The sequence below is a fragment of the Homo sapiens genome, chromosome 11 (assembly GCF_000001405.40).
Source record: "Homo sapiens chromosome 11, GRCh38.p14 Primary Assembly".
NCBI lineage: Eukaryota > Metazoa > Chordata > Mammalia > Primates > Hominidae > Homo > Homo sapiens.
Window position 1 is genome coordinate 26,612,467 of NC_000011.10, and position 25,693 is coordinate 26,638,159.

Here is a 25,693-nt window from a genome sequence, read left to right on the forward strand (position 1 = left end):
TCTGGCTGTTGTTGTTTTTTATTATTTGAATTTAAACCTTTCATACTAGATGATTGAAAGTTTACATAGCACCGTTATTTCAATAGATTATTCTCAGTTCGATTTATGAATTTGTCTACTGGTAAGTTTTATGCTTATACAGTTTTCTTGACAATAATTATATTCTTTTTGTTTCCAACTGTAGCATTTTCTTTAGCATTTCTTGTAAGGCCAGTCTAGTGGTGACAAATTTCTTCAGCATTTGTTTTTCTGGAAAGGGCTTTATTTCTCCTTCATTTCTGAAGGATAGCTTTATGGATATAGTATTATTGCCGGACAGATTTTTTTTTCCTTTCAGCACTTTAAATATAACAACCCATTTTCTTCTGGCCTGCAGTTTCTGTTGAGAAATCTGCTGATAGTCTAATAGGGGCTTCCTTTATATATAACTTGAAAGTTTTTTCTTGCAGATTTTGGAATCTTCTCTTTGACTTTTGGCAGTTTGATTAACGAGTACTTTGAAGAGGATCATTTTGAGTTGAATCTAATAGGGGACTTTTGAGCTTCCTGAATCTATCTAGATATAAATATATCTCCCAATATTTGGGAAGTTTCTGTCTATTATCCTGTTAAATAGGCTTTCTGTGTCTTTCTCCACCTCTTCTCTCTCTAATAATCCTATAATGGGAACATTTGTTCACTTAATGGTGTTTCATAAGTCTCATACACTTTCTTTATTCTTATTTGTTTATTTATTTTTCTCTGACTGTTATTTTAAAAGATCTGTATTCAAGCTTAAAAATATATTATTTGATTTGGTCTGTTGTTGGAACTGTCAATTGTATTTTTTATTGTATTTATTGAATTATTCAGCTTCAAGATTTCTGTTTGGTTCTTTTTTATGTCTATCTTTTTATTGTATTTCTCATTCAGATCATTGGTTATTTTTCGGATTTCATTGAATCATTTGTCTGTGCTGTCTTGTATCTCACTGCATTTTCTTAAGATCATTATTTACAATGCTTTTTTAGGAATTTCATAAATTTTCTTTTCTTTGGGGTCTGTTACTAGAGACTTATTGTGTTTCTTTGGAGGTATCCTATTTTCTTGCTGTTTCACGTTTCTTGTGTCCTTATTTTGATATCTGCAAATCTAGTGTAAATTTGTTCTTTCTGGTTTTATAGGATAGCATTTGTAGGAAGAAACTTTCTTTGGTAGGTGGTCCCAGAGGAGCTTTGGCTTTGGTTCTGAGTGGAGTCTCTAGTGTGATCTTCATGGTGTTTCTTTAGCTACAATACTTGTCAGTGATGTCTGTGATATTGTCTCAGAAGCCTAGTCTATGGTTGACTATAAGGGCAATAATGTGGTTTTGCTTGGGGCTGGGGCAGCGGGCTGGATGTTAGCCAGACAAGGGAAGCTGCAGAGGGCCAACAATCTGTATGGTGAGTTTCCTGCAGAGGCACTGGCCATTTCCAGGCTGGCTGTCAGAAGCCAAGCACAGATGCTCATGGGTGTAATGGCACTGGGTGGTTTTGCAAAGTTCTGTCTGAAGGGACAGGGTCACCACAGGACCAGCTGTCAGGCCATGCAGGCACATGCATGCACTTGGGCCAGGCAGGCTGTAGCAAGCTGTCCTGGGGATACTGCTGCTGCAGGACCCGCTTTCAGGCTGTACATGAACATATGCAGGTGTTGGGGATGGGGGCTAGGCAGGTTGAAGCAGTTGTTTCTGGGGGTGGATTCAACATAGGACTGGCTGTCAGGCTAGGTATAAGCACTCACAGGGTTGGCAGACTGTGCAGTGTAGGTGCACATGGATGTGATGGCTAGCAGGCTGTTCAGCCACTTTCCTGCTGTGCAGGTTCACCTGTTTATTGGAAGGTTGTGACAAATGCCACATGGGTTTGGATGCCAGGGTCTCAGTCCTTCGATCTGGCCTATGTTCTGGGCAGCTGAGGTCATGGTACTGTAGGCACTATGGTAGTATGATGGCAGGGCCTCAGGAATGGAAAGTCAATTGATACTGATCCCCAGGGCAAGACACACTGTATACATGGGTCCAGGTTCAAAATAGTATAGAGCCATAGCAGCCTAGGTCACAGTGGTGGGAGGTGCTCAAGGTGGTCTCTTACAATGAGGCAATGGAGTTGCACGGACCTCAGCTACTCTCCAGACTGGATTTGAGGCCTGTGGGGATTAGGGGCTGTCCTGTAGCAAGGATTGCTGGTGTTTGTGGTTGCAATGGGGACCACTGAGGATCTTTAACTTATGTTTTCTCCATAGGAAGAAGTCCCCCTGACTCTGAGCTAATTCTGGTAAGGAAGAGAGAGTGGTAGAAGTAGGGTGTCTTCCTCTCTCTCTCTATGGTATCCTTGGTGTCTGTACTCCACATAAATTTTACCATTCCCCTGGTGCTGCCTAGCACTCTACTTCAGTCACTTTACTTACAATATAGTTGTTTATTTGTTGTTTTGGTTCCTTTTTGTTGGGGAGGGACGAGTGCCAGGTAACCGTAGTCAACCTTCTTTCTGACATCACTCTCTACATATATATTCTATTCTATTTATATTATATTCTATAAAAAGAATATAACTTTTTCGGATCATTTGAATATTTATCTCTGTATATAGGTCTTGATTTATAATCAGAAAAAAACTCTTAGCTTTTAAAACATCCTACTATTTATATAAAATGAAGAACAAATTAGGAATGAAATGCATTTTCTTTTCTGTTTTTGTTTTTTTTTTTACTTTATGAGCTACCCATAAAACCACCGCTATACAAGTAGCAACATTAGGTCACTTTTTGAGTTTTGTCTTTTGCCAAGTGAAGAAAAGATTTATCAGTGGCTGCAGCATCCCAGCACATATACACCCTATTCCTTCTGTTCTCATGTGTGGTTCCCTCTCTCCCCTGGCTTTCGCAATACTGTCTAAGCTTCTGTCAGTTTATATATATATATATATATATTTTTTTTTTTTCAGTTCCTCAATGGTGTCTTCACAAAAACACGGGACTTTGGACACAGGCAAAGCAGAAATTTCCTACTTGACCTGTGTAACGCTGGTCATACCACATAACATCTATGAGCTGTAATTTCTGGATCTTTTAAATGAGGGACATAAAAATAACACATAGGGATATTGAAAGACTAAATGAGTAACCTCTCTAGTGCATAGAAGATGGTAATAAATGTTAACTTTCTCTACACTTGCTTCCCTTCGATATTTTAAGATTTCATTTCCCTTTTTAAGACTACCTATACTCATATTTCTTCTTGCAAAATACCAACTTTTACTTTTCTCCATTTTCTGCATCTTTAAGTTTGATCATTTATTTCCCTTCATTTCAAGGTATGAAAACAATAACAACCTTTTCTTTGATCGTCCTAAATTCTTTATATCACGTCTGCATTGATTGGTGTTCACTTTTTATTCTTTTTAAATAAATGTTTTCTATTACCCGTTCATAAATATTTGAATGCTCAAAGCCATCTTTGGAGAGAAAGAGAATCACTGTTTTGTATTTTGTCTTTCTATCAAATATGTCTAGTAATATAAACAAGTTTTAAAAAATATTTAATTAGTTCATGCTGAAATCATACCACTGTGATAATTTTCAGTAATCTTATTTTTAAAATGTCTTACTCTTTTTAATGCCCTTTTAAGGTCTGTAATTATTTTATCTTTTATAGCTATGAATTATAAAATCAGTACATTGATATTATAAAAAGTAGTGAAGTATAAAAATGTTAGAAATGCTAAATAAAAGCCACTTTCCTCAGTTCATAATGCCACTCATCTCCCTTCTTACTATAAACCTAATTGTACCTGTTGGAGGTAATCAATGTTAATGTAGGTTGGTGCAAAAGTTATTGCGATTTTTGCTATTGAAAATGATGGCAAGAATCACAATGACTTTTCATGTCCCTTAATTATCTTCTCCTCCCATTAAGTATTATTGCCTTTAAAGGAACATCCTGCGTTTCTGGTTTTTTTTTTTTTTTTTTGGTAATTTGTTGCAAAGACATACTGATCTTCAAAAACATCTTGAAAAGATTAATGAACTAGCTTAATATTTTTGAAGACAGGCAAAGGAAAATGAAGGAGCCAAATATGGTTAATTAATTTTTACTTTGGAAGGCAAGCATGACAGCTCCTAGAACAGAAACTCCAGGTCCAAGATTCGATACTTAGTTTCCACTTTATGAAATAACTATATTCTCAAATAAGCTGAAAACTTGTCAGACCAAGCTCATAATAGAACCTGAATTTGAACAGAATGGGAGGTTTACCCTCAAACATTTTCTTACAAAATTGTTCTTTTTTATTATTTTTATTTTTTTGAGATGGAGTCTCTCTCTGTTGCCCAGGATGGAGTGCAGTGGCAAGATCTTAGCTCACCACAACCTCTGCCTCCTGGGTTCAAGTGATTCTCCTGCCTCAGCCTCCTGAGTAGCTGGGACTACAGGCGCACGCCATCATGCCCAGCTAATTTTTGTATTTTTAGTAGAGACGGGGTTTCACCATGCTGGCCAGGCTGGTTTCGACCTCCTGACCTCATGATCCACCTGCCTCAGCCTTCCAAAGTGCTGGGATTACAGGCGTGAGCCACCGTGCCCGGCCCAAAATATTCTTTATATTATCACTAATATTGCAGAAATCAAGATTTGGCTGAAATTGTCACTGTTGTACCAGACTCCAGTTTTATATTATTCCAGTTGCTTCTTAAAGTCCAATCTCTTAAACTGTCACTCTTCTCCACCTCCTACCCTCTTCCTCAGTTACCACACCTTCCATAAAATCACAGTTGATTCTCATACCTATGGCTTTCTCTTTCTCTTATAAGGTTCCAGTACAACTTGCTCTTAAGTTTATGTGTTTAATGAGGCTTAATGTATTATTTATTCCAAAGCACTTGCATTTTACAGAAAACAAAGGCTGAACTCAGTGGAGTGAATCTCTAGTTGTAGAAATAAGACTTCAGAAGGCAAGTGAAGAGAGGATTATTGGAATTATAGAAGAATCTTTTGAGAGCCTCAGCATCCCACCAGCTCCACTTAATTGAATACTAGAACCCATGTATCTTCTTAGTGCTATAAAACAATCATAGTTCCTGGGAGAAACCAGAAGCTACCTCCTGTTTTTCTAAATATCTATTTCTACTTATTGGTCAATTTGGCATAAAGATTCAGGGATTTTTGGAAGTGGAGTAGACCATAAATACTTCTCCTTTGCTTTTGCAACTAACTCAGGAGAAGATTATAAAATGAATTGAGTGCAAAGGAAGTGAACTATAATACAGCCAACTCAAACAATGTAAGAAGATGGTTATATTCCTCAGATTTAATTAGTATAAAATAACAATGCTCTTCTGAATTTATGCATTCTCTTTCTATTCAGGATGTTAAAGCACATCACAGATTACTAAATAGCCCTCTGATCACCTGAATATACAGGATTAACCTATGGATTTAATCAAGTAGGGCTAGATTAAAACCATTAATGTTAAATATTATACCATCAAAAGTATTTATTTAGAAAATCAAATGCTACCTTTTGTTATGCTATTTTCAGACCAAAACTAAATATGCAGCTAATAAAATATATGCTTTTTTGTTGTTAATAGATTGACTGCAGGATCCCTGTACCATCATTTTCTCCAAATGAGGGACTTAGATTAATATTCTATTGATCAAAATTGCTTTTCAAATATAATCCATGTACATGGGATTATAAAATATAGGCATAGAAAAATAGTTTAAATCAGTCAGACCTTTTTTTTTTGGTTAGGAACTTTTAACGTAATTCTGTTTCTGTACATAGCCAGAAACCTTAAACTAGTTCTTACTTATTTCTTTTATCTCCTTCACAGTATCGTGACTAACTGTTGTGAATTTTGCTTCTGTAACATTTTTATTATCCATTTTTTGCTCACCATCCTTGCTTCTCCTTCCTTAGTTCAACTAGTTGTCATTTTTAGCTTGGACTGTTGCAGCAGGCTTCCTGCTGGTTGGTCTTCCTGTCTCTAATCTAAACTCTTCCTATATCCCTTTCACAGGACTATTGGAAGGATCTTTTTAAATAGTAAACGTGCTTGTCATGTGCTTGAGGCTGTTTAATGGGTTTCTATTGTATTTATTGGGTATAAATTCTAAATTCTTTAGCCTGGCCTGTGAGGCCCTCATTGCTTAAAACCACTTTTCCATTCTCTTCTTGGCTAAAATTGTCTCTTGCTGCCCCTCTTTCCAAATCACCCTGCACTCCAACCTACAGAACCACTTTTGCTTGTCCCCCAGGGAACTTTGCTCTTTTATACCCCTGTCTCTTTCTCCACAGTGCTTCCTGTGTCTGGAATGCCATTCTTAATTTGTCTCCTTGGTGAATATCTCTTTATCTTTGAAAATTACAGTTAAGGATCACTTCCTCCATAAAGCATTTTTTTCAATATTGTATTTAGAATTGAATTTTGTGCTTATTCTTCTCACAGTTTGTTTGGACATGTCAATTATTCCTCCAATCAGATTCTTCTGAAGAATTAAGCAATCCATTTTGTGAATATTCTTCTGTTACAGTGCTTAGGATATGTCATTTCTCCCATTATCAGAGTATAAGCTCCTTATGAACAGGGGCTGTAGCTTCCTCATTTTTGTATGTCCAAATATTTAAATAAATTTGAAATATTTTATTCACCAAATATCTTAGCATCTTACTGTATGTGCTCAAAATTATTTTTTGTTATTGGAATTGTATTTTTAACATATTTCAAGTTTGCAGCACTTATTTTAATTTACACTTATAACCAAAGACTATACATTTTCTAAACATTTCAAAACAGAACAGGTGGATCATGGCATTCCTAAATAAATATTTAACTGGGGAGAAAAATATGGGCTAATACAATCAAAATTTGGTTACAAGTCCATCTTACAGGTCATGAAAGTAATTTAAAATAGTATTTCCTATTTTTACTATTCATCAAATCACCTGGAACACTTTTGAAAAACTAAAGATTCTTTTTTTATTATTTATTTTTTTTTATTTTTTGAGATGGAGTCTCACTGTGTCACCCAGGCTGGAGTGCAGTGGCAGGATCTCAGCTCACAGCAACCTCTGCCTCCCATATTCAAGCTATTCTCATTACCTCAGCCTCCCAAGTAATTGGGGGCACATCACCACACCTGGCTAATTTTTGTATTTTTAGTAGAGATAGGGTTTCACCATGTTGGCCTGGCTGGTCTCAAACTCCTGACCTCAAGAGATCCGCCCACTTTGGCCTCCCAAAGTGCTGGGATTACAGGCGTGAGCCACTGCGCCCGGCCAAAAAACTACAGATTCTTGAGTCCTGTTCAGAATCTCCTTTGTTGGGCTAAGAAATCTATATTTAAAACAAATCATTCAAAAATACTCTCTAGTAATTCTTATCCAGCCAGCCCCTCAAATAGCATTAGAAAATCATTAAGAGAGCTAAGGTAATTTTGATGCACAGTCAGGATCAGAAATCACATCTTCCAAAATTAAATTACAAATAATTTTATTTGACAATAATTAAAACATCAATGTATTATTTTTAACATCCCTTTATCAGGCATATAGCTAAACAACTACAAAGACAGAATTTGAAACCGAGAATTGCTCTTTCCTAGGCCTACCATTTTTCTTCTTTATTTTGCTACCCTCAGAAAAGGATATGCTGCTCGAAGGTGCCAAAAGTGGCATGGTACTATTGTATCAGGAAATGTTCCTAAAAATATTTTAATGAAAATTAAATATGCAAAATTATTCCAAAAATGTATATTCTTGTTGCTTGACAATCCAACTTTAACTAATTTTGTCATATTACAGCAGCATGACAGCTGCCTGGTCTCATGATTAAAGGGTAACTTTTAAGAAATATATAGAAACATCAGAACAGAAGTACTCTTAGAGTTTGAAAAACCTGGAATTAGGCTAATTAAATCATTTCAGCATGGTGAAATTTTAATCAAAAATTAAAATGTTATTAAAATCAAATTTTATAAATATTAAATTAAATTTATTAAAATTAAATTAAACTAAAATTAAAACTTTAATTCCAATTAAAAATTTTTAAATTAAAGAATGAACTCCTTTTGGGTTTCCTCCTCTGATTTTAAAATCCATGTATCATGCACGGAGCACTCTAACAAAAAAAGAAAAAGTCCTATCTACATTTGGCTAATGTAAGTACTCCATGTAGGTTCTGGACTTTTCTCCCTTGTTGATCCATTCCCATCTCTAGAGTCCAGAGCATACATCCCTATACTTCTTTCATGGGCCTGATCACTGAAGGCCTCAAAGTACACCTAACTTTCCTTAATACCTGGTTACCACTGGTTACCAATTACAGTGCAAATAAGCTATTATGGAATAGGGTGGATCAAAGGGTTGGACCAGGCATCTTAACCAAGAAAAGAGGTAATGTCAAATGACTCATCTCATAAGAGGATTGGCTTTTTAATAAATGTATTTGTTTAGTTTGTTCATGTCTATGTCCATAGTTTCTAGAAATTCAGACAAGTAGATTACTGGAAAAGGGAAGGCTCTTTTCAATTCTGCAAAAGCTTGGAGTTTATTTTCACAGTGAAGGCTGTATTGTGGGGCTATGACTAAAAGATAAAAAGTTCTAAAACCCATGTAGAACTGCCTAATATGCCCCCTCACAATAACCATGTCCTTTTCCTGCCTTTGCTGTTCTTTTTCTCCCTAACTGGTTTTTGCATAACACCCCAAACAAGGCATTACTGGGAAGATGATGAAGTCTTAGCTGAGAATGAATTCCAAAATGCTTACCATGGCCTACTGTGCACTGAAAAAGTGTTTCCCTGTGAGATCTCAGTGACTCATCTCTTACTACTTCACTGTCTTATTGCTGCCACTCCTTTCTCTCTAACTTCCCTGCCCTTCATGAAATACATCAAGTCTGTGCCAGACTCAGAGCATTGGCATTCCCATTTCTGTGTCTTAAAGGTACTTAGCTGAGATTTCTGCTTGGCTCCCTCCCTCATTGCATGCACTTCTCTGCTCAGATGCTACCCTCTGAATACTTTATTCAGGCTTTTAAGAGGCTTTTCAGAATACTCTATAAAATAGTACTCTCTGTGTCTACCAAAACTCTCTATCCGCTCTGCCTGCTTTATTTTCCCTCAGAGCACTTTTCACCTCCTGACCAATTATGTATTTATTTGCCATTTATCTCTACCCACTGAAATTTGAGTTCTATGAAAGTAGAGATTATGTCTTTTTGATTCAGGTATGTTTGGTTTCTAAAACACTAACTGATGCACTAGAAATTTATAATGAATATATTAATTAATATATATGAATAAGAGAATTTCAGCTTACTAAATGCATCAGTGGCTGATTTTTTAAAGTATAGGTTCTCCAACATGTTATCACGTGTGTGTATCAGGTAGGGCCCGGAATAGTTATCCCTGACGCCCTTTATCCTCTTCCCCAACAAGCACGTACTCATTCCACTTTACACAATCACACACAAATGTACACACTCACAGCTTGTATGTACTGCCAAAGTGATTGCTGCCAGACACCATACAGTTGGATATATTTAAATCATTATTTATTTTTGTAGTCTGTAGTTTGAGATTTAACAATTCATTCTGCTTGAACTGATTTTGTAGCTCATCAGTGATGTTGCCAGTCAGCCATAGCATTTGGGCCTTGGATGATGCAGGTTTGCAAATACCCCAGAAAGTCTTGCAACAGCATTATGGCATCTTTTGTAATTTATAACTTTTTTCCCAGTGTTATTGTAACCCCCCTAATGCATCAGTTGCAGATATTGCCATCCTAAGTTTGCAGAGTGGCTCTATGTGCTAGATATTAAGACAAAAATTTGAATAGGGCTGGGCGTGGTGGCTCATGTCTGTAATCCTAGCACTTTGGGAGGCTGGGGCGGATGAGGAATTGGAGACCAGACTGGGCAACATGCCCAAAAGCCATCTCTGAAAAAAAAAAAAAGAAAAGAAAATGAGCCAGGCATCATAGTGGTGTGTACCTGTAGTTATAGCTACTTGGGAAGCTGAGGTGGGAGGATTACCTGAGCCAAGGAAGTTTAGGATGCAGTGAGTTGTGATCATGCCATTGCACTCCAGCCTGGGTGTTAGAGTGAGACTTTGTCTCGAAAATAAATAAATAGTTAAAAATGAAATGGTTTATGTGACAAGGCACGATGTATGTGGTGCTAGACAGCCATGATAGTCAATCCTGACTTTGCTACTTGCTCAGTCGTGTTGTCTCACTACTAAGGTGCCTGACATTCCACAACTTAGTTTCTTCTTCTGTAAAATGGGAATCATTATACCTACTTAACAAAATTGTTGTTAAGGAATAATAATATACGTAAAGCACTGTTTGGCACAAGCCAAATGGCAATTATTGAACTAGAACTAACTTTCAATCCCCACAAAGGCACTCAACTCAGTGCTAGAGGCATAGTGGGTGCTCAAGTACTATTTTTTGGGCAATTGAATCTATCCTATTGTACTCCTTGGAGACCCTGCTATGATTATCTCACTTAATAAATAAGACATGAAAAAGAACCTGTTACAGTAGGAATCACCTGGTGTTCATGAATTCACAGTAATCTTATCCTAAAATTTGAAAATTATAGTTTGTGTATAGCTAAAACAAAGACCAAAAACCTGCACTAGGAAGAGAATGAGAGTACTGTACTCAGTGTAATCTTTCTGTCTCCAGATAACACTTTAACTCTTAGGAAGGGGCAGATTTGAATCACAGCTAAGATGAGTCATCACAATCATTTTGCTGAAAGAACTGTCAGAGAAGGGGAACAACTTTTAATATGTCCAGATGCATACCTTTTAATTTTTCGTGCCAACAGGGAAGGTTATTGGAAATGATAATCTAAACAATTTTTTATTGAATTATGTGGTTATGAGGTAATATTCATATGCACATACATATACCCACAAGTACTTCTGTCTATAGCGAATACTTTCCCAACTATATTTACTTGGAATATTGTGAAATGTATGCCCTTTTCTTGAGTCTATGTAAATATTGGTCAGAGTATATAGGAGAGGGGAAAAGATGGCAGAAGAGGAAAAGTATTATCAGAAAAATCAATTGTGACTTACAGATTCAACAGATTTGACTTATGCATCTGTTTTAAATAACCACAAAAACAATTTTGTTTTTTACAAATACAAATATATACGGTCTTTTATCATAGTTTAGAAATTTCTTTATCAGTAGGGCAGAATTCAAACTTTCACTTTGCCTTCCAGTGTTGTAAAAAAAAACACAATTTTTTTAATTTTTAATTTTTATTTATTTTTATTTTTATTTATTTTTTATTTTTGAGACGGAGTCTCACTCTCGCCCAGGCTGGAGTGCAGTGGCACGATCTCTGCTCACTGGAAGTTCTGCCTCCCGGTTTCACGTCATTCTCCTGCCTCAGCCTCCCGAGTAGCTGGGACTACAGGCGCCCGCCAACGTGCCCGGCTAATTTTTTGTATTTTTAGTAGAGACGGGGTTTCACCCTGTTAGCCAGGATGGTCTCGATCTCCTGACTTCGTGATCCGCCCGCCTAGGCCTCCCAAAGTGCTGGGATTACAGGCGTGAGCCACCGCGCCCGGCCAAAAAACTGTAATTTTGAGCTCAAATCTCAGCTCAGCCATTGATTAGCTGAATGACTTTTAGGGACTTTTTCTCATTTCTTGATTTACAAAATGAAAATGAAGATAGCTACCAGAAAAGACTCGTTATTACAGATTACAAGTGTATCTACACACACATATACGTGTACACACATTTACATTCACATATATTATATCAATTTCATTCATGTATGTATATATAAAGCCTTACATACTAAGTTTCAATAAATGTTTCTATTTAAAGTAAAATGTAACCACTGTATAACATACATTATAGATGTTTCTTCAAATAGTGTAAATACCAGCCTTTTCCAAAAGAGAGGAATAATGTTCACTATGTATTCTCTTTTATTACAGGCTTATGAAAAAATTGCTTACCTCCTCACCAATTTAGGTAAGTCCATTTTTCTTACTTCACTCCTTAGTCAGAAAATAACATATGGGCATTTCAGTCTGTAGTTACTTTATATAATGTAGCATTTTAATAACTGCAATTATTTAAGTATTTACCAATTAAAAAGGAGAGGGGTAGTATAGGAAGTTGGTCTATATTGAATAACAATAGAGAGACAATGCATGTAGTTACAAAATATTTTTACTAGAAATCAGCACACCTAGTTCTTCCTACTTAGGAGTGCTTGCTTCTCCAACTTTTCAGTTCTTTGGGTTTTTCCTCAATATTTATTTTTTATCAAAGTGTTATACTACATGTACACTTTTTAAAAGCCAAAACAATATTAAGAGATTTACAATGAAAACCAGTACTTTACCACATCACCCATTCCTATTTTCTATACCAAAGGAACTACTTTTTAACTTTTTTTTTTTTTTTTCTGAGATGGAGCCTTGCTCAGTCGCCCAGAGTGGAGTGCGGTGGTGACGCGATCTCGGCTCACTGCAAGCTGCACCTCGCAGGTTCACGCCATTCTCCGGCCTCAGCCTCCCGAGTAGTTGGGGACTACAGGCGCCTGCCACCACGTCCGGCTCATTTTTTGTATTTTTAGTAGAGACGGGGTTTCACCGTGTTAGCCAGGATGGACTCAATTTCCTGACCTCGTGATCTGCCCGCCTCGGCCTCCCAAAATGCTGGGATTACAGGCGTGAGCCACTGTGTCCGGCTACTTTTAACATTTTTATCTGTTTATTTTGTTATTTCCCACCATGTTTCCACGTGATATCGTTCTATTGCCATTATTGGATTTTATCTTTTGATAGCTATTGCCTTCCCATTATACAAGTATGAATTATTAAGACTTAGCTCTTAATGTTCCCTGCAGTGCCCTGTCCCCCGACACTCCATCTTTCATTATCTGATAAACACAGTTATTTCTCCTCCTTCCAAGGTGGATATATCAGCATTTTTAGCCAAATTAATCGTTAGTCTTCACATCATTATGTCTCTATAACTATTTTCATACCTACGGCATGGTATATTCTATAATTGTGTATACTTTTTATACCACTTCTGTATTTTTTAAGCTAATAATGGCCACTTTTTTGCTTATTTTTTTACATACTTTTCTTAATTTATCCCAAAGGTTTTGCCAAGACTCTAAATTTTCTCTGAATATATTCAGACACATCAAGTATTATACAAACTTGATTTTCTTCTTAGAGTTACCCTCTCAAGCTGTCTCCTCCAAACTAGATGGGTTATTTTCTAGGCCTGTAGCCAACTGCATCTAGACTTACTTTCATAAACACTCTGGGAATTCCTTTTATATTTTTCTAGAATTTGGATACTACTTACTAAATCCTATGTCTTATTCCTTCTTGGCTCAGTTCCTTATTTTGCTACTTGTAAGTAAGTTTCTTAAAACTTTGTAGATCTGAAAATGTCTCTATTCTAGCCTCAAACTTGATATCCATGTTCCTAGGTATGAAACCCTATGTTAGAAATACTGCCCCTTTGAATTTTGAAGGAGTTTCATTTTCTTCTGGATTCCAGCATTGTTACTGAGAGCTCTGCTACCATTCTGATTCCCAGTCCTTTGCACAGGACCTGTTTTGATTTTTGTTATTTGTTTATACTCTAGAATAATTTTGAATCTTTTCTCATTTTGAGATTTCACAATGATGTACTTTGGTGAAAACCTTTTATCATTTATTATGCTGGATACTTAGTGCATCCCATCAATATTGATATCCATTGTGTCCTGTGGGAAGCAGACACTGAGATGGAGTTAGTAATGCAAGAGATTTCTTAGAGGAAAACTCCTGAGGAAAGGAGCAGGACTGGATAAGGAGAGCCTCAGACAACAATGCAGATCTGATGGTTTTAACCAATCCAATGGAGAGCTCTAGAACAAATATTTCAAGTAAAGATTTAGAGGACTCTAACATTGGGTATAATTGAGTATAATTGGCCAAGACCTAGTACCCCTGTCATTCTGAGTCACTGGTTGGTTGTTGCCTGGGAAGAGCAAGACCTTGGCATGAAAGCTGAGGTATAGGATGAGGCTGGAAACAGCTGGAGGCTGACTGTACTCCTTGCAGCTGAACAGCAAGTTCTTACTGAGGGGAAATCCTAGTGACAAACCTCCACTGCTGCCATAATCTGAAAACTCAGAAACTTCGCTTCCAGGAGATTTTTGTATATTCTTTGTTCAATAATTTACTCCTTTAAAAAATCTTTCTGGAACTCTTTACATTCGGATGTTTCTTATCATATTCAATAGTTTTTTTTTTCTTTCTTCCTTTTCTATGATTTTTGTTGGGATTTCTTCAAGAGAACCTCAACCTTATCTTCCAAGTATTCTCCTGAATGTTTTATATTGACTCATGCTTCACATTTTCTAGAATTATTTCCTGTTCTCTGAATGTCCTTTTTCTATGTCATCCAGTTCCAGCTTCACAGATGCAGTGTCTTAAGTAGGCAATATAATGTAATTGTTAAGAATATCAGCTCTAGAGTGAGAATGCCTGAGTTGAAATCTTTGCACCATAACTTACTACATTATCATAGTTGTGCAGTAATAATTATTTTATTCTCTCGGTTTCTTAAATTCTTTTATATATATATATATACAAGGAGATAGAGTCTGTGCTCTGGAGCTAACATTGGAGAAACAATGTTTTGAAAGGGGAAGACACCAGGCTTTGGAGTTGGATATAGCAATGAACATTTGGATTGCCGCATCATGACTGTATAACTATCATTAAGCTTTTTCCTCTCCCTGTTCTCTCTTCTTCTTCTCCCCTCCTTCTCCTCCTCTTCCCCCTCATTCTCCTCCCTCTGCTTGTCCTTCTTCTTTACTTTTGGGTCTTCATTTCCTCACTGTTAAAATGACAATAATAATAGTTCCTATTTCACCATTGTTGTAGATTGGCTGCCTGACACATGACAAGTGTACAATAAATAGCAATGGTCCAGTTCATTGTTCTTTAAACCCTCTGAGCTGCATTTTCTTCAGTTGGGTAATGAAGCACTAGCTCTGTTCCTTACATTCATTTGCTTTTGAAGTACCCTATACCCAGGATTGAAGCAAATCTAAGGAGAATGACTTGGGAAAATCATACTTAATAGTAGGAAACAGAACAGTTATTTGTGCTAAGTAACAAGAAATGTCAAGGTTTTCACTTGATATTTGATTTTTTCCTCTATAATCCAGTGATGATTTATGTCTGTTGATTCATCATTTAACTAATAATGGCTATATTAGTTTAAATGGATAAAAATATTGATAGTTTGATTAAAATAATAGAATCTAGTGTGTGTGTGTGTGTGTGTGTGTGTGTGTGTGTGTGTGTGCGCCTGACATTATGTTCTGTTTAATTTTTGGCTGCGCTAATTTGTGCTTCAAAATACAAATGAAAAATTAAGTTTTACTTCTCAGAAGAGGTCATATGCTATTTAAAGAATTTTTTTAAACTTTCTGTTTCTTGATTTATTTTTTTCCAAGTATTTTCAAAAACCACAAAGCAAAAGAGATAAAGCTTAAATTCTATTACATTTGTTTTTTAACATGGGAAAAATTAAAAGCATTTACTTCAAAGTGATTTTTTGAACTTTGGTTTCCTGGTTTTTGAGGATTAGATCAGGATGGCTGTTAATTTTTCTTAATAATGAACTGTCTATGTTAAAGATAAATTGGGATTAGAAGGAACAAATTAAGCCAACTAATGAAAAGAGTTTTCACTTTGTCAGACAGGGGTCAAAACTACCTTACAGTGTTAAAATCGTAACACAAAGTAACTTCCTACTATACACACTATTAATTCCAAGAAACAGAGAAATTAACAGTAAAAAGCAAGGACTAATTACCTTACTGGGTGACTGCATCTCATAAATAACTTTTCATCCGTAATTAGCTTCATTAGGGAAAAAGTAAGAGATATTTTGGCCAGAAATACATTACCCTAGAAACAGCACCTATATCCTTAGTGTTGAGGATTTGATTCCTCCTCTGAGTTAAAAACCAATTCAAAATGATCCACAATGTGCTATATTTGTGAATGGCACGGTGTTGAAAAATAAAAGTTTTCTTCCTGGCAGCGTAGAACCTAAGTTAAACCTCAAAGTTATCATCATTGCAGTAACTTCCATTGTTTCAGTTGTCTGTTGCCACATAGCCTTTTACTCCAAACTTAGTAGCTCAGGACAACAACTTATTATTTTTAATGATCCTGCAATTTAGATTAGGCCCTGCTATGTGATTTTTCTGGTCCATATGGTATCTGCTGGGGCTGGTGTGTAAGAGGGCCTCTTCAATCACATCTGTTTCCTCATATGGAATTATTGGGATAGCTGGTGTCTTCAGCCTTCTTCTCCTCTATGTGCCTCTACCTGGCTAGCTTGCTTATAGCAGTATGATAGGACATCTTACATGTCAACTGGCTTCCAGGAAGACAAGCCCCTATACACAAGTGCTTATCCAGCTTCTGCTTGCATTTTACTTGCATATCCAATCTCCTCTTGGTGAAGGCAAGTCAGAGTCAAGGTTGGAGGCAACTACACTAGGGTATGTATACTTGGAGGAGTAGTTCACTGTGGACACCAGTTTAACTGCTACCAATGTAACAATCCTCCACTTCTAGCAAAATGCCATTCTGCTGGGAACATTGTAATCTTCATCAGAATGGGTAAAGCAACTGAATAGCACTCAGCATGTCTCCAACTTGGTATATAACCTTACTACCATTTAGAATGATTTCTCCCAGTAAAATCATAGTAATCTTTTCTTATATCAGAGCTCGCCTCTGTGAAACCTTTGTTGACTTCTCAGTCCTTCACTCTACAATGTTCCTTTAGCTGTTTGTGATTCCTTTCATTACTGCATCTATTACATTATTCCTATCTATCTATCTATCTATCTACTTTCTTTACAAGACTAAAAAATTCTTACGGCCAAGAATTGAATGTACTTACTTCTGATTCTTTCAATCCTTAGGTACAAAGTTTGGCATGCGTTCATCCATAAAAGAAATATGTATGGAGGACCTAATATTTTAGACAACGTGATAGGGAGACAGACCATTAGACTATCAAGATGCATTATTCCTTTAATAAACTGTTGAATTAAACCTGCTATTTTTTTTTCTTTTGAGACAGAGTTTTGCTCTTGTTGCCCAGGCTGGAAGGCAATGGTGCAATCTCGACTCACCGCAACCTCCGCCTCTCAGGTTCAAGCAGTCCTCTTGCCTCAGCCTCCCGAGTAGCTGGGATTACAGGCGTGCACCTCCACGCCTGGCTAATTTTGTATTTTTAGTAGAGACAGGGTTTCTCCATGTTAGTCAGGCTGGTCTCGAACTGCCGACCTCAGGTGATCTGCCCGCCTTGGCCTCTCAAAGTGCTAGTACTACAGGCATGAGCCACTGCACCAGGCCTAAATCTGCTATATTTTATTTAGGAATTTCCAATGGGATTTTAAGTAAAAATAGTTTGTAGATTTTTACTTGCGCTGTCCTTGAAGGGTTTTAGTGTCAGAAATTATGCAAATCTCACAAGTAACAAGAAGATAAGTTCAGTCCCCATCATCATAGTGTAGATAGTATCAAGTCTGTTCCAGTATGAAATAGCAGCCCAATAAACACTTGTCAGAAGAGTGGATGAAAAATTAATGATAATAAATATATCAAGAATGGCCCACAAATAAATGTGTTGAATATAAGATTTAGAGGTATGTGGTTCTCCTTATATAATTAATTGTAAAAACCAGAGTTTAAAACTTTAATTTTCTTGACAATGTTTTAAAGTATTATTTGTCTTCACTGGCATTTCTCACAGGACAATTTGGAGTACTTTACATCTTCAGTTTGGCTTCGCATAGAAGAGTCACTTTAGTTGGCCACATAGATTCCTTTATTATTGTCACTTGACATTAATCAGGAAAACATGAACTTTCAGAGAAAGTCTTACTTTGGGAGGATGAAGTCTATTACTAAATCCTGTTTTAGGATATCCAAACTATCCAAACACTTTTCTTGTGTACATGTAGCTTTTATTATCACACAGTTTTATAAAAAACAGTTTATAAGGCATTTAGATAATTACATACTCTCTAGCTTGTAATTAAACCAAAACTCTCTGCCCCTCATTGTTAAGTTTTTGGACTTTGAAGGCATTTAGCCTTATGCCACTAGGCTTAGTCGAGATATAGTTTTCTTTTCTTTTATTACATTGTTGAGTAAGGAATTCTGTGGTAAATTTATAAATGAAAGTGGGTTATAGTGTCCTTGCATTGGCCTTGTTACACTATGCTGTATTAAGTCAATATTACGTTAATCTCACCAAGCAAGTTGAATTACTTTAATTATTTTATATTTTCTGAAACATACAAAAGGCAAATTTGTTATTTAATAAGAGTTTCATAGAATCAACCCATATGACTATTCAGGCATTATGTCATTCTGAGGTAGATATTTACATTTTCTTTTTTTTTTTAGTTAATGCACTGGTAATTAGTTTTTTGAAGAGTACCTACCTATTTTTGAGCCATTTTTTGAAAAGTCCTATTTATGTAGGTAATTGTTTATTATATATAAATGTTTTAACTTGTCAACTGAAAATTATTGATAGGATGTTTAGTAATGTTAATCTCTTCAGTACAGTGTTTGTACATCTTTTATTTGGGGTGGTGGAGTCTTCTCTCTTTTCTCATAACTAGACTTCATAAATGTTAGTCAATATTACATGTTCAAGAATCATTCTATTTTATTGAAGATTTGAAAACATTTTATTGTTTATTTTTGTTCTTTCATTTTATTTTGTTTATTTTATTGTTTTTGTAGCTTCTTTGAAGGAAAAACTAAAATATTTTCTTCTATATAAGGCAATATTTATACATTAAAAATAAATAAAATAGTGAGAATCATGATCAATATAACAAATAGAGAAGAAAAGATGAAACAAATCATTAAACAAATTTTTAAAAGTGTGTTTGTATTTATCTCCAGACCTACCTATCTATCCATCTATCTTTCAATTATCTGTAAGAATAATTGCCATTTGGAAACTGGAACACAGATTAAACTTCAAAAAATAAAATCCAGCTAGATGATAATGAAAAGAAACACAACTGAATTTAAAAAGCTGAAAAATGACTGACACTTGAGGAGTAAAAGCACATATATCAAGAAAATAGTAACAGTAAAATCAAATGTCATCAGGTTAATATTAGGGAAACTAGAGGCAAAGAGGAATACTGCATACTAGTAAATGAACTAACATGTCAGTATAATAATCATGATCTCTATGCATCTTTAAGAAGCTTTAAAGTATAGATAGCAAAAAAATGATAGAAAAGAACTGAAAAATCCATAGCCAAAACATAAGTAAATATATACAGTATTTAGACCGGGCATGGTGGTTCACGCCTGTGATCTCAGCACTTTGGGAGGCCGAGGCAGCCAGATCACTTGAGGTCAGGAGTTCAAAACCAGCCTGGCCAATATGGTGAAACCCCGTCTCTACTAAAAATACCTCCCCACCAAAAAAAGTTAGCCAAGCATGGTGTCGGGCGCCTGTAATCCCAGCTACTTGGGAGGCTGAAGCAGAAGAATCTCTCGAACCCGGGAGGTGGAGGTTGCAGTGAGCCAAGATTGCCATGCTACAATCCAGCCTGGGCGACAAAGTGAGACTCCATCTCAAGAAAAAAAAAAAAAGATACACAGTGTTTGACTGTCATATCTGACATCCTTCTTTAAAAATATGTACAAACCAGACTGGATGCGGTGAGTCACTCTTGTAATCCTAGCAGTCAGGAGTTCGAGACCAGTCTGGCCAACATGTTGAAACCCTGTCTCTGCCAAAAAATACAAAACTTAGCCGGGCGTGGTGACACCTGCCTGTAATCCCAGCTACTCAGGAGGCTGAGGCAGAAGAATCACTTGAACCTGGGAGGCAGAGGTTGCAGTGAGCCGAGATTGTGCCATTGTAGTCCAGCCTGGGCAACAGAGTGAGACTCCATCTCAAGAAAAAAAAAATTTATATATATATAAAATATATATAATATATAAATATATAAAAAATATACGTTTTATATATATATAATATATGTCTGTCTCTATATATGTACAAACACACACACACACACACAAACCATATGCCCAACAGGAACACAAATATTATTTTCAGGCACTTGATACATTGACAAAACTTATCCACACAATTTAGCCACAAATGACATCACAACTTTTTGCCTCAAAGCAGAAATCAGGCAGGACACATTTGTGGACAATGCTGAAATAAAATTAGAAATGAAGAACCAAAACTAATCTACACAATAAAAAGTACCTAAAAATCTACATCCTCTTTTCTAAATAAGTTTTGTGTTAATGAACTAAATTTGTAAACTAGAGAGAAACAACAGTGAAAGCATGACATGTCAAAACCCGTGGGGACAAGTTCTTACTGACTGTTCTTACTGAGGCACACTTGCCAGTCACCTTCTGGGTGGCCCACAGACCCTTCCTACTTTTGGCAACTACCGCCTTTGGACTTGGAGTTCCCCAGGACCTATGCCTTCCTCCTTCCATGTGATTGGGCTAGTGCATGTGTTGGTGTATGTTTTCCTTAAATGAGATCCTATCTATTTTCCATCTTTATTGAATTCTTCAATTACGTTAAAATATATGTTAGATGAGACGTATCTATTTTCTATCACTCATTTGAGTACTAAGGCTGCAGTACAGGCAGTCCTTATTTTTTTCTTTTAAGCATTATAAAACCATAAGATGTTAGAGTCGACAGGGTTTTTAGAAATCATCTTGTCTAAATCCCTTATTCTATAGATGACCAAACTGACTGCAAAAAAATAGTGAAGAGACCTGCCTGAGATTACCTGCCAGTCAGGTGCAAGGCTGAGATAAGAGCTCAGCTCTCCTAACTGATTTCTCTTTTCTCTTTACCTCTTTACCATTTTTTCTCTTTGCCATTCCACTTCCGTCTGTACACAAAATATTCATTCTTCAGAGAACTCTGTGGACAGTTTAGGCCCTTATATTGAGTGTAGCCAGTTTGAGTGAATGATTGATCCATTATGTATGGTTACTACTAAATGATGATAGCAGAGAGAATCCTGAAAATCTTTATGTATTAATAACATGATTTTGTAGATGTGGGGAAAGTCTAAAGATTATCTTACGAAGTCCTTTCATCAAGTGTGAACAGTAGATATTATCATTCACATTTTACAGACACAGATGCTAGAAATCAGCAAAACTAAGTGCCTCATAGAACTAAAAAACTTGGCAAGGCATGGTGGCTCACGCCTGTAATCCTAGCATTTTGGGAGGCCGAGGCCAGCAGATCACCTGAGGTCAGGAGTTCGAGACCACCGTGGCGAACATGGTGAAACCCCCACTTCTACTAAAAATACAAAAAATTAGCCAGGCATGGTGGCGGGCGCTTATAATCCCAGCTACTTGGGAGGCTGAGCCAGAAGAATTGCTTGAACCTGGGAGGCACAGGTTGCAGTGAGCCAAGATTGTGCCACTGTATTCCAGCCTGGGCAACAGAGAGTGAGACTCCATTTCCAAAAAAAAAAAAAAAAAATTAAATTAAAAAGACAAACTTGAACTTGGGGTTTCTGCCTCCATGTCCAGAGTCTTGATATTCACCTCACCTCACCTGTGTCAATGCAACCTGTGTTCCTTTTAGAATATCCTCGAACAGAATCAGAGTGGGAAAACAGCTTCGCCCTGAAGATGTTCCTCTTCCAGTTTGTCAATTTAAACAGTTCCATCTTCTATATCGCTTTCTTTTTGGGAAGGTAAGTCAACTTTTTGTACATTATCTTCGCAGAGTGAAAAACACAGTCAATAGTTTAATTGACGATTACTGTTCTTACTCAAATGATTTCTGACAGCCACCAGCAGCTAAAGTTGGCACAAAAAAATAAAACCTATTTGCTGCATTTGAGCTGAATTATGTCTGTTTCATCATCAGTAACAATTTTGTTAAAGAAGCAAAGAATTTTTGTGTGACCTTGGGTTATAATTCCTTAATGTGGAAACCTCTTCTACCTATCATCTTAACATTTTTCCACCTTTAGTGCAAAATATGAAAAAAGCAGCATATTAAACTAATGATTCTGCTTTGCCATATGCTTAACACTCCATCCAATGCCATGGAAACATACTAAAGATAGAAACATTTTGGATCAAACAATGCAGCACATTATTGTAATAGTCATTAACTAGGTCAACAAAACGTTAAGACTCTCTATGTGAGGGTCGGAAATGTCATCCAGTTGGTTTGTCTGTACTTTCTTGACCCATTAGTTCACGCATCACTTTTTCCTTTGTAAGTCAGATACTTTGATGTTTAAGATAGCAGAAGTCAACTGGGGACAGATTGCACCAGTGAGCGTTTATGTCTACCCACACATGCACTCGTTGTGATGCCTAAGTAGATGTTCTTCAGTGAACCCCACTTAAATGCTAATGAACTAAAATGTCTTCTTACAGATTCGTAGGCCACCCAGGAAAATACAATAAACTTTTTGACCGGTGGAGACTGGAGGAAGTAAGTAACTTTGGGAGTGTGGGTGCAGGAATGGGCATGGATATGGGCCAGTTACTGCGGGAGGAAGGGAGCTGAAGAAAGGAGAAGTTCAGGGAACTTTATGGATATTGAAGACGACACATTGTTCAGAAAGGAAGCAACTACATCTTTTCAAAAAAGGGGGTGAACTGAAAAGTTAAACCCCAAGATTCTCACCTCAGCTCTATTTTTTTAATCACATCAATTTCTTTTATTTACAGACCCCAGGAATTTAGCTCCAGTAATTTTCCTTTTTTTTTAAATTATTATTATTCATTAGGTAAATTTTCAAACTTTTAAATATGTTAGGTTTCCTTTTAGTCCAAAAGACATCATACTGGAAACACCAACATGTAATTATATAAAAGTACCTGCCTAAGACTCATATTTCTTTATTGATTTACAATATGTATGTTATATGGAAAAACTGCCCAGGAGTAGTATTGTTGGGTTACAGGATAAGCATATTGTATATTTTCACTGAGACTGAGAAATGGGCCTCCAAATGCCACCCCTACCTAGACTGTGTGAGCCTGCTTCTTCAGTATTTAGCCAATGGTAGAATTTTCACTTTTACCAATCTAATAGCCAGTGATTTTAGTTTCTATAATTATGAATGAGATGGATAATATTTTTCATATTTTTCTTGAACATTTTATATTTCTGTTCATAGCCTTGAAGAACAGGGCATAGCAATAAAACATAACAAATATTTTATCTTTGGAGACTGGCAGTCTATATTCTAATTCTTCCCACCCAGATGCATGATTTAATATCTATAAATCTCAGTTTCCTCTTTTGTAAATTGGTGATAAGAATAGCTATCTTGCCTGGCCCTGTGGCTCACACCTGTAGTCCCAACACTTTAGGAGGCCAAGGCAGGATGATTGCTTGAGGCCAAGAGTTTGAGACCGGTCTGGGCAAAATGGTGAGACCCTGTCTTTATTTAAAAAAAATAAAAATTAGCCGGGTGTGGTGGCACATGCTTCTAGTCCCAGCTACTCAGGAAGCTGAGGTGGGAAGATCCCTTGAGCCCAGGAGTTCGAGGATGCAGTGAGCCATGATCGTACCACTGCACTCCAGCTTGGGTGAGAGACCAAGACTCTGTCCCTAAACAACAGAAAAAATAAAGAATAGCTATCCCAGTAATACTGGTGATTGGTATATTAAATTAGATTGTGTATGTAAAATAATAGTTACAATTAATGATAGCCATAATTACAAAATTTAAAAAGTGCTATGGTTTGTTTTAGGATATTTGTGAACTGGCTAAGCTAGACTTGTGAATCTTTTACTACAACTATATAATATCTCACATTAATATTTTTTATGAAATCAATATGAAAAAGTTTTTAATAATAGCTAAGATTTATTGAGGGCTTACTACATGCTAGTGTACTCCAGCAATTGTTTCTAAGTGCTCTCTGTATATTAATGCATTTAATCCTCACAGTTCTATTATTATATCCATTTTACAGATCAGGAAACAAAGTCACAGATGTGCAGTGCCTGCAATTGCAAATGTAATTTCCCTACAATTGTACAAACATAAACACTGATGAAGTTATGATTTAAATCTTTTCAGTGTAGCTTCAGAGTCTGTGCTCTGAACACTGTGCTTTCCAGCCACGAGTAGGATGGCGTGTAGGTATAATCAAAGACATAATGAAAATTTATTTTGCTGAGAAATTGCTGTCTGATTGCTGGCTCACACTTCTATGCTGGATTTAGAGTAAGCATACTAAAGTAAGTGAAGGAACCTGGGTATTGGAGTCTGACAGTTCTTTCTGTCACTTAGCTTTATCATCTGCAGAGTGAAGATACCAACAACTACCCTGCCAGGTTCTCACAAGGAGTAAGAGAAAAATACACTACAGCATCTAGTTTGGCTTGTCCAGGGTGATATGATTTGGGTGGTGCAATTGGAATGAATGCCTGTGTCTTCTGCACACTCACTCATGCCCTTTTACACATTCCAAGTATGGGCTTTTTCTACCAAATGAAATTTAGAGTTTTGATAGACTGGCTTTAGTGCAAGACCACCATTATGTGAATGGACAAACCCACAAAAACTATTGGACCCCCTTCTCTTCCTTATAAATCATAAAGTCATCAAGGCTTAATTTCAACAAAATTATAAATGGCCTGTCTTCCAGCCACCCCACTTTGGCCTATCCTTTGTGGGTAGCGAACCAATCACATGATCCTATGATCATCTTCTTTTTCCCATCCCACAAAATAATGTTTGTGTTAAACCCACACTTCAAGGCAGCAAACACATTGGTAAATGGAATTCATCCTTAGTATAATATAAAAGAGCAATGGATTGGGGAAATGGGGACAAGCCTTTCATTTCCACAGCACCAGTCAACACTGTATGGCCTTGGGCAAGTCAGCTTGCCTCTGAGTCTCTACAAAAATGAAGAGCTTCAGCTTGCAGCTGTGATCTGTGATTTGCCCCCGTAGCTTAATAATTACTCTGCCTCAGTCATTCCAGTGAACCCATTTATCAGATATATTTGGGAGAGTTCAGGAAATGCTAAATTCATCCTAGAAAAAGAGGTTTGCTTGGATGCGAGAATTTAGACCTCTTCATGCAGTAAGCATGACCATTTGCAAATCCTCTCTCAGGCTCAGATTAGGGAGTCTTAAATTACTGGGCTGGAACAGGAAAAGCAGGCTCTTTGTGTCTTATTTGTTCTCTTTGAAGTTCCACTAGTACCAATTTGATAGAAATAGAAACTGTGGATCAAAGCCATAGAGAAGACTGTCTTCCTTATGAGCAGGACATGTACCCATTTCTAAAGAAACAGACCCACGCCTTCCCACCCAAATATCTTGAATACTGCAAAGTTTTCAAGTAAAACACATCGGTTGTGATTTTTGTTGAAATCACGTTTTTGTTTGTATGGGTCTCTAATACTAACTTATTGAAAATCTAAAAAAGCAGAAAAGCACAGACGAAAGAATAGGATCATACTGATGAATTATTTTTGTGGTGTTGCATTTATCACTTAAAAATGCATTATAATATAGGTAGATACTTCCTTTCCAGGAGGTAGAATTCAACA

General features: G+C 36.6%; 1 protein-coding gene across 7 annotated transcripts in view; it reads left to right on the top strand.

Moving 5' to 3' along the window:
* The window catches only part of ANO3 (anoctamin 3), a 474,482-nt gene that overhangs the window by 423,659 nt on the left and 25,130 nt on the right, over positions 1–25,693 (top strand). For all 7 annotated transcript variants that reach the window (NM_001313726.2, NM_031418.4, XM_047427399.1 and 4 more), the window contains 3 exons: positions 11,996–12,032; positions 21,738–21,849; positions 22,547–22,604. In NM_001313726.2, the coding sequence (NP_001300655.1) occupies positions 11,996–12,032; positions 21,738–21,849; positions 22,547–22,604 (207 nt within the window). The remainder of the gene's footprint in view (positions 1–11,995; positions 12,033–21,737; positions 21,850–22,546; positions 22,605–25,693) is intronic.